Here is a 13,526-nt window from a genome sequence, read left to right on the forward strand (position 1 = left end):
ATTTTGCCTTCTATTTAATGCTACCTAGGGTTTCATGCTTAACTGCCCCTTCCTAGAGCTATGCTATTTCATAGAAGCCCTCCACTTGAGAATACATCTGATCAAAACCTCCAAACACTTCAGGTTTTCTCTAATTTTAATTTTTTTTTTTTTTTTTTTTTTTGGAGATGGAGTCTTGCTCCGTCACCCAGGCTGGAGTGCAGTGGCTTGATCTCTGCTCACTGCAAGCTTCACCTACTGGGCTCATGCCATTCTCCTGCCTCAGCCTCCCAAGTAGCTGGGACTACAGGCACCCGCCACCATGCCCGGCTAAGTTTTTTGTATTTTTAGTAGAGACAGAGTTTCACCTTGTTAGCCAGGATGGTCTCAATCTCCTGACCTCGTGATCCACCCACCTCAGCCTCCCAAAGTGCTGGGATTACAGGCATGAGCCACTGCGCCCAGCCCCTGTTATCTGTTTCTTCAAAGAAACATTCAACAGCATCATGAATGCTCTTAAATTTTTTCAGTGTATCAGGAAAACAAGGGAAAGCTTATTACAATATGATGCTAAAAATTCAGATTGTAATGTTGACAAAAAAAAGCCTACCATGACCTACAGTAGGCATGAGAAAAGACAAGGAACCAAAAAATCACTTTCTTCTCTTACACTAATCCTTGCAAACAAGTTAACACAGAAACAGCTTTAAGTTTAACAAAAGTAAATGACAAAACAAGCAATTGTAAGGTGTGTGTGTATATATAGGTATATATATCTTGCAATTGCCTGTGTCTATACCTATCTATATATATACATACCTATTCCCCTACATATATAGCCATATATATATTATATATATATATGTATTTTTTTTAACATATTTGGGATTTCAAAAGTTTGGGAGAGTATATATTTTATATATACACACACATACAGAAAATATATATATATAGAATATAATATATTCTAATCCCAAATATTTAAATGCTTTGCCTATCTTGCATGAGCAAAGGGATAAAAATGCCTTCTCTTTGGAGTCCTAGAGACCATGTCTCCAACTTTCATGTCCTGATGGGATGATGTCCTTCCACTCCTGTAAGAACCCTAGCTCTGGCACAACCTCAGCTGTGTATGCTTCCCTCCGTTTCTTTGAAATTTTGGCTTTCACACAGATCCCTGTAAACTTCAAAGGAAAAGGACAATCTTCCTACTTAACCAACTATTTGTCCATCTGTCCATCCTATGCCTGCCTTCTTTCTCCTCTTTGTTTTCCATCAACATGACCATACATTGAACACCTACAATATGCCAAGCGTTGCACTAGGTGTTTACAACATGCAGTCTGTTTTCCATGCTATCATCTTAAATACTCTTATTTAGCCCTCTCTCCTGAGGAGTACTGCCTTTAGTTTCCATGTCATTAGAAGCCTTTCTCTACCTCATCAAGCTCATCATACCCCAGAGTAAGATGGAGGTGAAAGAGTGTGGCATAGTAGAAAGAGCATGAACTCTGAGAGAATTATCCTTAGGCTTAAGCCTTGGCTTCTCTATTTCCTACCCATGTGTCCTTGGATGAGTTATTACTCTCTTTCAGCCTCAGTTTTCTCATCTACTATCTATCTGAGGGTAACAATACTTCAGAGCTGCTAGAGGAATTCAATGAAATAACATGTAAATTTCCTTAAAATATGCCCACAGCATGGGAAGCATTTAATGAATAGTAGCAATTCTAATATCTAAGTGATAGCTGCCAATTCATTAGATATGGGCATGTTCAGAATGGTCCATTGACTTATACTTGCCCCATTATGTATATATGAGGACAATAAAAAGTTGCCCAGTTGATTTTTTATTGCCCTCTTATATGTACATGCATTATGTAGACAGCCTGCTCAATGGGTATTTATTATAATAATGAAGTACACAGTCTAATGTTTCTCTTCATTTGTATAAGCTTTAAGAAAGCCCTGTTTTTTCAGCTTTTTTGGTACATAAATTCATGGCAGTTTGGTTATAATCCCCATCGTTTTGTTTGATTTTCCCTGCATTTCTTAAATTAAGAAATATCCATATATTGAGATTAGCTGTAACTAACTCATGGTGTTCCTTCCTTTTGCCATTTCCTCCCTTTCCATCTTCTTGTAATTTAAACTTTCCACATCCTAGAGTGAGAAATATGAGTCCCCAGTTTTTCCACAGCTTCAATAAGCAGGCTGGAAAATGTTTTAATGGACTGCTAGAACCAATGACTATTAGTGGCTTTCCCCCATCTTCCTGAAGGTTTTCCTGTCCAACCCTTCTCTCCCTTTCATGTCCTCCACATCTTATCAGTTGTAATGAATTGAACCCGTAGTAGCAGCGCTAGAAGAGCTGTTTCTTAGTTTAAATGGTAGTCATACTATTTTGCAACTAAAATTAATTTTATACTCTTTTAATGAATTCTTTATTTTCCTGTTCTGTTTATTTTGAAATGAAAACTCCTAAAATATTTTTCTCTGTACACCTAGTTGTACCCAGAGGAGACAAGAGATCTAGAAATATCCTTAATGCGTACCTGAATATTCTTTCTATCCCAATATGTACCCAGTTTTTAAAACATTTTTCCCATATGTAAGTGTTATTCAAAAGTTTTCCTAGAAAAGTCATATTCTGGGCATGCTATGTTTTTGCTGAAGTGTCTAGGCTTTGTTTTTGTCCTGTCGGGGATATGACTTGTGAGTTTTCCTTTATCTGTGAGAGAAAGTTGACCTTTTGTGCTAATTCCATTTCCTGGTGAGTCAGCCTTCTTTCTTTTGGGCTTGCCTATTGCTCAGTGCCAACTCTTACATTCCACTAATTCAGCACCTGTCCCTTCTTAAACAGGTTGTTCAAACCCCCATGCTAGCCCCATCTTTGACCCAGTGACTTCTTTGGGTGGCCAGTTATTTAATTTTTCAAAGCCTCTGTTTTGACATGTGAAAAAAAATAAAAATAACATTATCCTAGCAGGGCATATTAAATAATGCAAATGAGGGTAGCTACCAATGATAAATTTTACTAGGAAGGAGGTAATGCTGAAATAATGAGAATTTATCTTATCATAAAAATTTAACTTGTGGGCAGCTCCAAATAAGTAGCAATTTCCCTTTTCTTACTATTTTCCTCCAGGAATTTGGGCTGAAATTATTCAGGATCCATTTTCCTTCACGTATTTCCATTTCAAAAATGGTAGAATGGAAAGGAATAGAAGTAAATTTGAAGGATTTTCAAAGCTTACTTAGGAGTTTGGCATGGAGAGGGGAAAGCTGTCACAGCTATTGATGAATTTATTCAGTAACTACTGAGTGCCTACTCAGTGCTGCATCACTGTTTCTATATGGAAAGGAACTATCCCTCTGGGACAGTGTTTCCTTAGTGGGGTTAGCAGTCCAAGGAGCAAAGCATATGTGTGTTTCTATAAGCAATGGAAAAAGGATACTCCAAGAATCCTATATATGTAGCTGTTTGCTGATTCCAAGAGGGCAGCTAAGACTTTTTGGAAATAGGAATAGGAATCAACCTAGCACAATGCTTTGCATGTTGTAGGTGTTCAATATGTGGTCATATTGAGGGAAAAAAAGGAGAAAGAAGACAGGCATAGGATGGACAGATGGACAGATGATTAGTTAAGTAGGAAGATTCTCCCTTAAAGATATGTCTCTACTCTGCCAATCTTTGTTAAAAAAAGAAAAAAAGAAAAGAAGATATTTAAAAGTAGAGAGTTTATATGAAGTCTAATTAGAAGGTCTTGTTACACTCTGAAAGAGTGCCAGAATATCAGAATATGAACCACAAGATCATTATTTTCTTTTTCTTAACTTTTTTTTTTTCGTTTTTGTTTTTCTTTTTCTTTTTCTTTTTTTTTTGAGATGGAGTCTTGCATTGTTGCCCAGGCTGGAGTGCAGTGGTGCAATCTTGGCTCACTGCAACCTCCACCTCCCAGGTTCAAGAAATTCTCCTGCCTCAGCCTCCCTAGTAGCTTGGATTACAGGTGCAACCACCATGCCCAGTTAATTTTTGTATTCTTAGTAGAGATAAGGTTTCACCATGGTGGCCAGGCTGGTCTTGAACTCCTGACCTTAGGCGATCTGCCTACCTTGGCCTCCCAGAGTGCTGAGACTGAATTTTATTGAAAGCCGTTTCTGCATTTATTGAGGTAATCATGTGTTTTTCATCTTTAGTTCTGTTTATGTGATGAATTACATTTATTGATTTGCATATGTTAAACCAACTTTGCATCCCAGAGATGAAGCCTACTTGACTGTTGTGGATTAGCTTTTAGGTATGCTGCTGGATTCGGCTTGCACGTATTTTGTTGAGAATGTTTGCATCAATGTTCAGCAAGGATATTGGCCTGATGTTTTTTTTTGTTGTGTCTCTGCCAAGTTTTGGTATCAAGATAATGCTGGCTTCATAGAATGAGTGGGGGAGGAGTCCTCGCCCTGCAACCGACCCAGTTTTTTTGGAATAGTTTCTGTAGGAATGGTATGAACTCTTCTTTGTACATCTGGTAGAATTTGGCTGTGAATCCATCAGGCTCTGGGCTTTTGTTTTTTGTTTTTTTTTTTTTTTTTTTGGTTGGTTGGTAGGCTATTTATTATTGATTCAATTTTGGAGCTCATTATTGGTCTGTTCAGGAAACCAATTTCTTCCTGGCTCAGTCTTGGGAGGGTGTATATGTCCAGGAATCTGTCCATCTCTTCTAGGTTTTCTAGTTTGTGTGTGGAGAGGTCTCTATAGTAGTTTCTGATGGTTGTTTTCATTTCTGTGGGGTCAGTGATATCTCTTTCATCATTTCTAATTGTCTTAATTTTTTTATTAGTCTATTTAGTGGCCTATCTACTTTAATTTTTTTTTAAAAAACAACTCCTAGATTTGTTGATTTTTTAAATGGTTTGTCTCTGAATTTCCTTCAGTTCAGCTCTGATTTTTGTTATTTCTTGTCTTCTGCTAGCTTTGGGGTTGACTTATCCTTGCTTCTTTAATTCTTTCCATTTAATTTAGGTTGTTAGTTTGAGATCTTTCTAACTTCTTGATGTGGGCATTTAGTGCTATGAATTTCCCTCTCCACACTTTCTTAGCTGTGTCCCAGAGATTCTGGTATGTTGTATCTTTATTTTCATGATATTCAAAGAACTTCTTGATTTCTGCCTTAATTTCATTATTTACCCAAAAGTCATTCAGAAGCATATTGTTTAATTTTCATGTAATTGCATGGTTTTGAGCGATTTTCATAGTCTTGACTTCTATTTTTATTGTACTGTTGTCCGAGAGAGTGTTTGGTATGATTTTGATTCTTTTTACATTTGCCGAGGATTGTTTTATGTTTAATTATGTGGCCAATTTTAGAGTATGTGTCATGTGGTGATGAGAGAGTGTATATTCTGTTACTTTCCAGTGGAGAGTTCTTTAAAGGTCTATCAGATCCATTGGTACAATGTTGAGTTTAGGTTCTAAATATCTATTAATTTTATGCCTTGATGATCTAATATTGTCAGTGGAATGTTAGACTCCCACAGAATAATAGTGGGAGACTTTATGTCTCTTTGTATAGTAGGTCTCTAAGAACTTGCTTTATGAATCTGGGTGCTCCTGTTTGGTGCATATATATTTAGGACAACTATGTCTCTTAGTAGAATTGAACCCTTTACCATTATATACTTTGTCTTTATCTTTGTTAGTTTGAAATCTGTTTTGTCTGAAATTAGAATTGTAACCCCTGCTTTTTGCCGTTTTCCATTTGCTTGGTATGTTTTCCTCCATCCCCTTTATTTTGAGCTTATGAGTGTCATTACACATGAGATGGGTCTCTTGAAGACAGCATACCATTGGATCTTGCTTTTTTATCCAGCTTGCCACTCTGTGCCTCTTAAATTGAGCATTTAACCCACTTACATTCAAGGCCAGTATTGATAAGTGTGGATTTGATCCTGTCTTTGTGCTGTTAATTGGTTATTATGGTGGCTTGTTTGCTTTACAGTGACACTGGTCTGTGTGTCTTTGTATGAGCTGGTAGCAGTCTTTCCTTTCTATATTTAGTGTTATTTTCAAGATCTCTTGTAAGGCAGGTCTGGTGGTAATGAATTCCCCCAACATTTGCTTATCTGGAAAGGATCTTATTTCTTCACTGAGGAAGCTTAGTTTGGCTGGATATGAAATTCTTGAAGATGATGTTTTTCTTTAAGAATGTTGAGTATAGGCCCCCACTCTCTTCTGGGTTGTAGGGTTTTAGCTGAGAGTTGCACTGTCTGATGGGGTTCCCTTTGTAGGTGACCTGCCCTTTCTCTCTAGCTGCCTTTAACATTCTTTTATTTTGACCTTGGAAAATCTGACAATTATGTGTTTTGGGCATGATCTTCTTGTGGAGAATCTTGCAGGAGTTCTATTTCCTGATTTTGACTGTTTGCCTCTCTAGAAGGTTGGGGAAGTTTTCATAGATGATATCCTAAGATATGCTTTTCAACTTGTTTGCTTTCTCCCCATCCCTTATAGGGATGCCAGTGATTCATAGATTTGGCCTCTTTACATAATCCCATACTTCTCAGAGGTTTTGTTTATTCTTTTTCTTTTTTATTTATTTTTGTCTGACTGCTTCGTTTCAGAGAACCAGTCTTCAAGTTCTGAGATTCATTCCCCAGCTTGGTTTATTCTGCTGTTAATACTTGTGATTGCACTGTGAAAGTCTTGTATTGTGTTTTTCAGCTCTGTCAGACTTGTTAGGTTCTTTTTTATACTTGCTATTTCATTCTTTAGCTCCTGGAAAGAAGTCTATGGATTATACTCAACCTACACTCCAGTTAAAGGAACATCTACACACAGAGGTGAGAAAGAATGAATACAAAAACTTTGGTAACTCAAATGGTTAGAGTGTCATATGTTCTCCAAATGACTGCATCAGTTCTCCAACAAGAGTTCTTAACCTGGTTGAGATGACAGAAATATCATTCAGAATATGGATAAGAACATCATTGAGATTCAGGAGGGAAGCAAACTCCAATCCAAGGAGAATGAGAATCAAAATAAAGCAATACAGGAGAAGCTTTCAGTTGACCCAGGGTGCTCTGTCCAGGGAGTTGCCAAGTTGCCACGGGCTTGATAGCTCTGGTGGGGGATGGCTAGAGGCCCAGGCCTGAAAGACCTGGAGATATGGGATATGGGAACAAGCACCCATGTAGCAGTCTGGCCACTTTTCTGTAGGTCTGCTTCAGTATGCTTGGGGCCCCCTCCAATCCCTAGTCACATCAGATTTTCCAGTACCTGGAGGTATCACCAATGAAGGCTGTGAAGCAGCAAAATGGCAATCTGGCCCTCTCTCTGGGAGCTCTGACCCAGAGAGGTATGTGCCTGCTGCTGGCCCAAAGGCACCTGTAGGAGGTGGCTGGAGACCCCAGCTGGGAGATCCTGCCTAGTGAGGAGGAACAGGATCAGGGACCTGCTTTAAAAAGACGTCTGGCCACATTTTGGTAGAGCAGATATGCTTTGCTGGGCATTTGCTTCAGCCCCTGGTTGCCTAGACACTCCAAAGCCCGATGGCTGGAATGGCTAAGTCACCCAAACAGCAATGATGGTGGCCCACCCCCTCTGTGAGCTCCATCCCTGGGAAGTTACTAATCTCTGTTGGCCAGAGAACACCTTTAGGGGAGAGGTGGCTGGAGGCACCCCAGTTGGGAGGTCCTGTCCAGTGAAAAGGAATGAGATTGGGGACCTGCTTATAGTAGTAGTCTGGCCATGTTTGGTACAGCAGTTGTGCTGTGTTGGGGGATCCCTTCTGCCCGATTGGCCTGGATTCTGCAAAGCCTGAAGGCTGGAACAGCTAATGTACCTGAACAGTAAAGATGGAGGCCTGCCTGTCCCCCTGGGAGCTCTTCCTTAGGGAGTTACAATGCTGGTACCAGTGGCTGGCCAGAATTCTAAGCTGTGGGTCTTATCTTGTGAGGTAGCATGGACTTGGGGCCTGCAGGCTGTTGCTGCTCAGCCCCCTGAATTCAGCCTCTTTTCTATGGGTATGTACAGGGTTCTAACCTCCCACTTTGCTGGAGCTGCAGCTACTTTTGCTGGAAAGCCCAAGTATCTAAGGCTCCAGTGATTCCACGCATGTCTGAGTGGTTGCTCTGCCAAGACTCCATGTAGCTCTGTCAGACTGAAGTCCCTGGTAGACTGCGTTCACAAGGATATCTCCTGTCCCAAGGGTTGCAAAGATCTGTCAAAGAAGCATGGATTCCTTAGGTGGGGGAGGGTCCCCTGTCTCCGTGTTTCTCCCAGATGGGCTTTGTCCTGTCTTGGTTTTCTTTGTTCTCCATGAGTCAAGTTGTTTCCTTGATTACTCCCTTTGTGAATACTAGGATGTTTCAGTTGAAGGTGTTGTATTTACTCACCCCTCCCGTTTCTCTCCATGAGAGCTACACACAGTAGCTGCTTCTAGACAGCCATATTGGCCATTTCCCTCCATTGTTTTCATCTAGAATCCACCATCTTTAAAAAATGAGTTTTCCTTCAACTGTGCATCATTTTATTTTCAAATTGAGCCTATTTCTAGCACTTAATATTTACACAATTACAATTCATTTCACCTATGAGTCATTATATTTATCTCTTATGTGTATTTATACCCGTTCTAAAGCTTGGTTTTATGGTCTAATTAAATTAACGGGATATACTTTATAAATAATACTTAGGGAAGATGATATAGTTAGAGGACCAGGATTCTAGGTCTAGCCACTAACTAGCTGTGTGAACTTAGACAAATCATTTAATTTTATTTAATTCAGAAAAATATATGAAAACAAAGTAGCTCAATCTCACTGCTCACATAACTACTTGTAAAGAAATACATGTACAGAGTTTGTTCTTCTTTTTTATCATTTCAGGAAATGAATAACATGAAGTGAAGTCTTCATCTCCATTCCCAACAGTCCCCATTCTACTTGCAGAAAGGTAAATATTGTTCATATTTTGTTATGAATTCATTTTGCTATGAATTCTTTACAAATCAGCATACTAAAAGATGTTTGAGTATTTCCTAATAGATGCAGATCCTACCATAAAACTGTATGCATATAATATTTTTAAAGAGAAATCATTGTTTTAGAGAACATTTAGGGAGTAAAGAGTACGTGTTAAAATTTCTTTGAAATGCTTATCTATGACTAGAAGCATTGCTTTCTTCTACTCTATACAGATAGTAAATTTAAAGGCACATTTGGGGACAGGATTGTGGGTTTTCTCAAATAACCTTCTTAAATAGGTAGAGAAAGCACCTCTAGTCTTGGTTTTTTAGAGAAATTTTTAATATTATGTTCAATTTTTTAAGGCAAATAAAGTAAGCTGGGATATGATTTTTATTTATCAAGGTAATTATTTTCCCTAAAGTTTAAAGAAAACTTGAAGGAACAAATAGGTGTAGCTGGAGCAAGTTTATTGAGGTATAGATACACCACACCACTAATTTCATAGTGTAGACAGTCCTCTCAGAATGGTATCAAGAGTTCTTTGAAAGGGCAATACAGTTTCCGAAAGCCCTACAGGAAGACCTGGGTAGTGACAATAGTACCATCTCTTCTGGAAACCTCACTCTGAAATGAATTATACTCAGGGCAAAAAGCATTCTTCTGTATTTGTAGGTAGCCTAAAATGTACATCACAGCTGCCTGGGCTAATTTTATAGGGCTCGTGGAGGCTCCTACATTTGCTATTCACAATGGCAAGCTGAGCTCAATATTTGAACAAAAAAAGTTAAATTTACCAACTGTAGGATTTATATTCTCAGAACAAAAAAATAAATGAAACCTTTAAGGGAGCTTAGAAAGTACAACCATAAAGAAATAGTCATGAGTCATTTCTTCAGTTAAACCAGCATCAGTACTCAAGTATGATTACTATATTAGAAAAATCATCTTTAAACACAAAGAAAACTTCTGCTTGTGTATATTCATGATCACCAATAAAAAGGTTCTACCAAAGGGCCAGTCACCCAGGTGTTCATGTACATACAACAGCATATCATGATGGACACTAGAAGCCTCGCCCTACAGTCTCTGCTCTTAGGTTCCACCTCTGACCCTCACTTGTTGGGCTTATCTTCGGCAAATCTTTAGCCTCTCTCTCCCTAAACTGCATCATCTGAAAAATAGAGATGACAATAGTACTTGGCTCACTGAGTTGTTATGAAAATTAAGTTAGTACATGTAAAACCCTTTTCTGGCACATGGTAAGTGCATGTAACACTGTTCTTTTTCTTATTCAATGTGTATATACCAAGGGAAAGGTTTAAATAAAAACATTAAGTTAAAATAATTTATTCAAAAGCCATGCCACTGTTAAATTAATACAGTCAAAACTACAAATAAAAAAAGAACATGCAAAATATTTTATAATATTGTATAAAGGCTTATATGTGTAAGCTTAAAAACCCTTCATTTATGAATCAATTTGTGCATAAAAATTGTATACATGCAGAGACTTGGGCCAGAATGGATATTGTTGAATTAATTTCAAAAATACGTTTTACAGCTTTTCCAAAACTCTTTAATGAAAAGTCAGCAAGAAGATAATGAGAAAGGACCAAACAGATGTTGGCTTCTGCTGAAATTTGCCAAACTTTTACAGCATCATTATGATAGCTTTCCGTTTAGGTCACCACAGTTTAAAAGTAAGTGGGACATTTGGATCTAGAAGAGAGCAGTGATGATTAAAGAGTTGGAAACCCAGGCTTAAGAGGAAGGGACCATGGAAATGATGTTGGTTGGCCAAAAGAGGAGAAGGCTGTGGGTGCCTTAATTACAGTCTCAGTATATATATAATACACCATGTAAATGAACAGATGTTGTTCTGCAATGAAAATAGAACAAGATGGGAGCACTGTGGCTCTGATTTGAGAACCATCTTTGTCTATAAAGAGTTGTTGAATAACTAAACCTCTGTTCTCTCAACCAATATCTATTCATTTCCTCTATTTTTATACCATATTAAGTGCTAACGGTTGATAATTCACATATTTAGACATATTGCATGGAATATGCTCTATAATTGTATTGCAGGAGACTTGGTGACCTATACGCATTAGAGCATGGGAAAGACAGGAAACTAGGTTGGTGCAGTGACACATTTTGGATTCCCACTTCCGTCTCACAAGGATGCATGAGTATCCTGAGACCACCACAGAAGATAGCTAGGTGGGAGTCTGCTTGTTGATACATCAACCAAAAGGACCGCCCTGGGGGCAAGTAGAGTGCTTCTTCCAGCTCAAGGAATTATGCGGTGAGCAGGCTTTCCTTGCAGGCCCACCTAGCTCCCCCAGGGAGGACATTCCAATAACCAGTTTTGGATTACCCCAAAAGACATCTATCTATCTATCTATTTAAATGGTCTTTCCTGTAAATAACACTTCACTTCTGATACCAAATGTGTAGGGTTTATTTCCAGTTCCTAGCAGACACCAACTTGGTGTCCTAAAATGCAATTAAATTCTAACACTATCTATCAGAAATTAGATCCCACAAGATTGTCCACACTTCACATGCCAATAGCAAGTCCCAGCCTCCTGTACTTCTGACTGACCAGCTATACACTGGGAGTTTCCATAACTCTCATCTCAGTTTCAGTAATTTGCTAGAATAGCTTACAGAACTCAACATTTACTCAATTTACCAGTCTATTAAAAATAGTATTTTGTTGAGAATGTTTGCCTCTGTGTTCATCAGGGATATTGGTCTGTAGTTTTCATTTTTTATGTCCTTTCCTGGTTTTGGTATTAGGGTAAAACTGGCTTCATAGAATGACTTAGGGAGGATTCCCTCTTTATCTTTTGGAAATTGGTACCAATTCTTCTTTGAATGTCTGGTAGAATTTAGCTGTAAATCTGTCTTTTTTGGTTGGCAATTTTTAAATTACCATTTCAATCTTGCTGCTTGTTATTGGTCTGTTCAGAGTTTCTATTTCTTTCTGGTTTAATCTAGGAGGGTTGTATATTTCTAGGAATTTAACCAACTCCTCTAGGTGTTCACAGTAGCCTTGAATGATCTTTTGCATTTCTTGGTATCAGTGATAATGTCTCCCATTTCTAATTGAGCTTATTTGGAACTTCGTTCTTTTCTTGGTTAATCTCACTAATGGCCTATCAATTTTGTTTATCTTCAAAGAACAAGCTTTTTCATTCATTTAGTTCTGTTCTGATCTTTCTTTGTTATTTCTTCTGCTGAGTTTGGGTTTGTTCTTGTTTCTCTAATTCCTTGAGGTATGTGACCTTAGATTGTCTGGGCATAAAGGGTATCCAAATTAGTAAAGAGGAAGTCAAACTAGCACTGTTTGCTGATGATACGACCATATATGTAGAAAACCCTAAAGACCCCTCCAAAAAGCTCCCAGAACTGATAAATGAATTTAGGAAAGTTTCCAGATACAAAATCAATGTACACAATCAGTAGCAATGCTATATACCAACAATGACCAAGCTGAGAATCAGATCAAGAACTCAACTCCTTTTATAATAGCTGCAAAACAAATAAAATACTTAAGAATACACCTAAGCAAGGAGATGAAGGACCTCTATAAGGAAAACTACAAAACACTGCTGAAAGAAATCACAGATGACACAAACAAGTGGAAACACATCCCATGCTCATGGATGGGTAGAATCAATATTGTGAAAGTGACCATACTTCCAAAAGCAATCTACAAATTTAATGCAATTCCCATCAAAAAACCACCATCATTCTTCACAGAACTAGAAAAAAAAGCTAAAATTCATGTGGAACCAAAAAAGAGCCCATATAGCCAAAGAAAGACTAAGCAAAAAGAGCAAATCTGAAGGTAGCACATTACCTGACTTCAAACTATACTATAAGGCTATAGTCACCAAAACAACATGGTACTCGTAAAAAATAGGCACATAGATCAATGGAACAGAATAGAGAACCCAGAAATAAAGCCAAATACTTACAGCCAACTGATCTTTGACAAAGCAACACAAAAACAAAGTGGAGAAGGGATACTGTATTCAACAAATGGTGCTGAGTTAATTGGCAAGCCAAAGGTGGAAAAATGAAACTGGATCCTCATCTCTCACCTTAGACCTGAAACCATAAAGATTCTAGAAGATAACATGGAAAAAACCCTTCTAGACATTGTCTTAGGCAAAGACTTCATGAACAAGAACCCAAAAACAAAGATAAATAGGTGGGACTTAAACTAAAAAGCTTCTGCATGGCAAAATAATAATAATCAGCAGAGTTAACAGACAACCCACAGAGTGGGAGACAATCTGCACAAACTATACATCTTACAAAGGACTAATATCCAGAATCTACATGAAATTCAAGTCAGCAAGAAAAAAAAAAATCCCATCAAAAAGTGGGCTAAGGACCTGAATAGACAATTCTCAAAAGAAGATGTACAGATGGCCAATAAATATATGGAAAAACATTCAACACCACTGATTATCAGGGAAATGCAAATGAAATCCACAATGTGATATCACCTTACTCCTGCAAGAATGGACATAATCAAAAAATGATAGATGTTGGCATGGATG

The 13,526-nt window shown here is 38.0% G+C and overlaps 2 long non-coding RNA genes across 3 annotated transcripts in view; one reads left to right on the plus strand and one right to left on the minus strand.

The window, feature by feature from the left end:
• LINC02888 (long intergenic non-protein coding RNA 2888) overlaps positions 1–13,526 on the plus strand; it is a 92,340-nt gene that overhangs the window by 67,213 nt on the left and 11,601 nt on the right. Inside the window, exons 2-3 of one of the 2 annotated variants that reach the window (NR_110014.1) lie at positions 6,752–6,819; positions 8,866–8,932. This is a non-coding gene — a long non-coding RNA (long intergenic non-protein coding RNA 2888). The remainder of the gene's footprint in view (positions 1–6,751; positions 6,820–8,865; positions 8,933–13,526) is intronic. The other variant, NR_110015.1, reaches the window with a different exon arrangement.
• Positions 1–13,526, minus strand: part of LOC105375172 (uncharacterized) — a 32,552-nt gene that overhangs the window by 11,543 nt on the left and 7,483 nt on the right. The gene's annotated exons all lie outside the window — the stretch shown is intronic.

Source organism: Homo sapiens, chromosome 7 (assembly GCF_000001405.40).
Source record: "Homo sapiens chromosome 7, GRCh38.p14 Primary Assembly".
Taxonomy (NCBI): domain Eukaryota; kingdom Metazoa; phylum Chordata; class Mammalia; order Primates; family Hominidae; genus Homo; species Homo sapiens.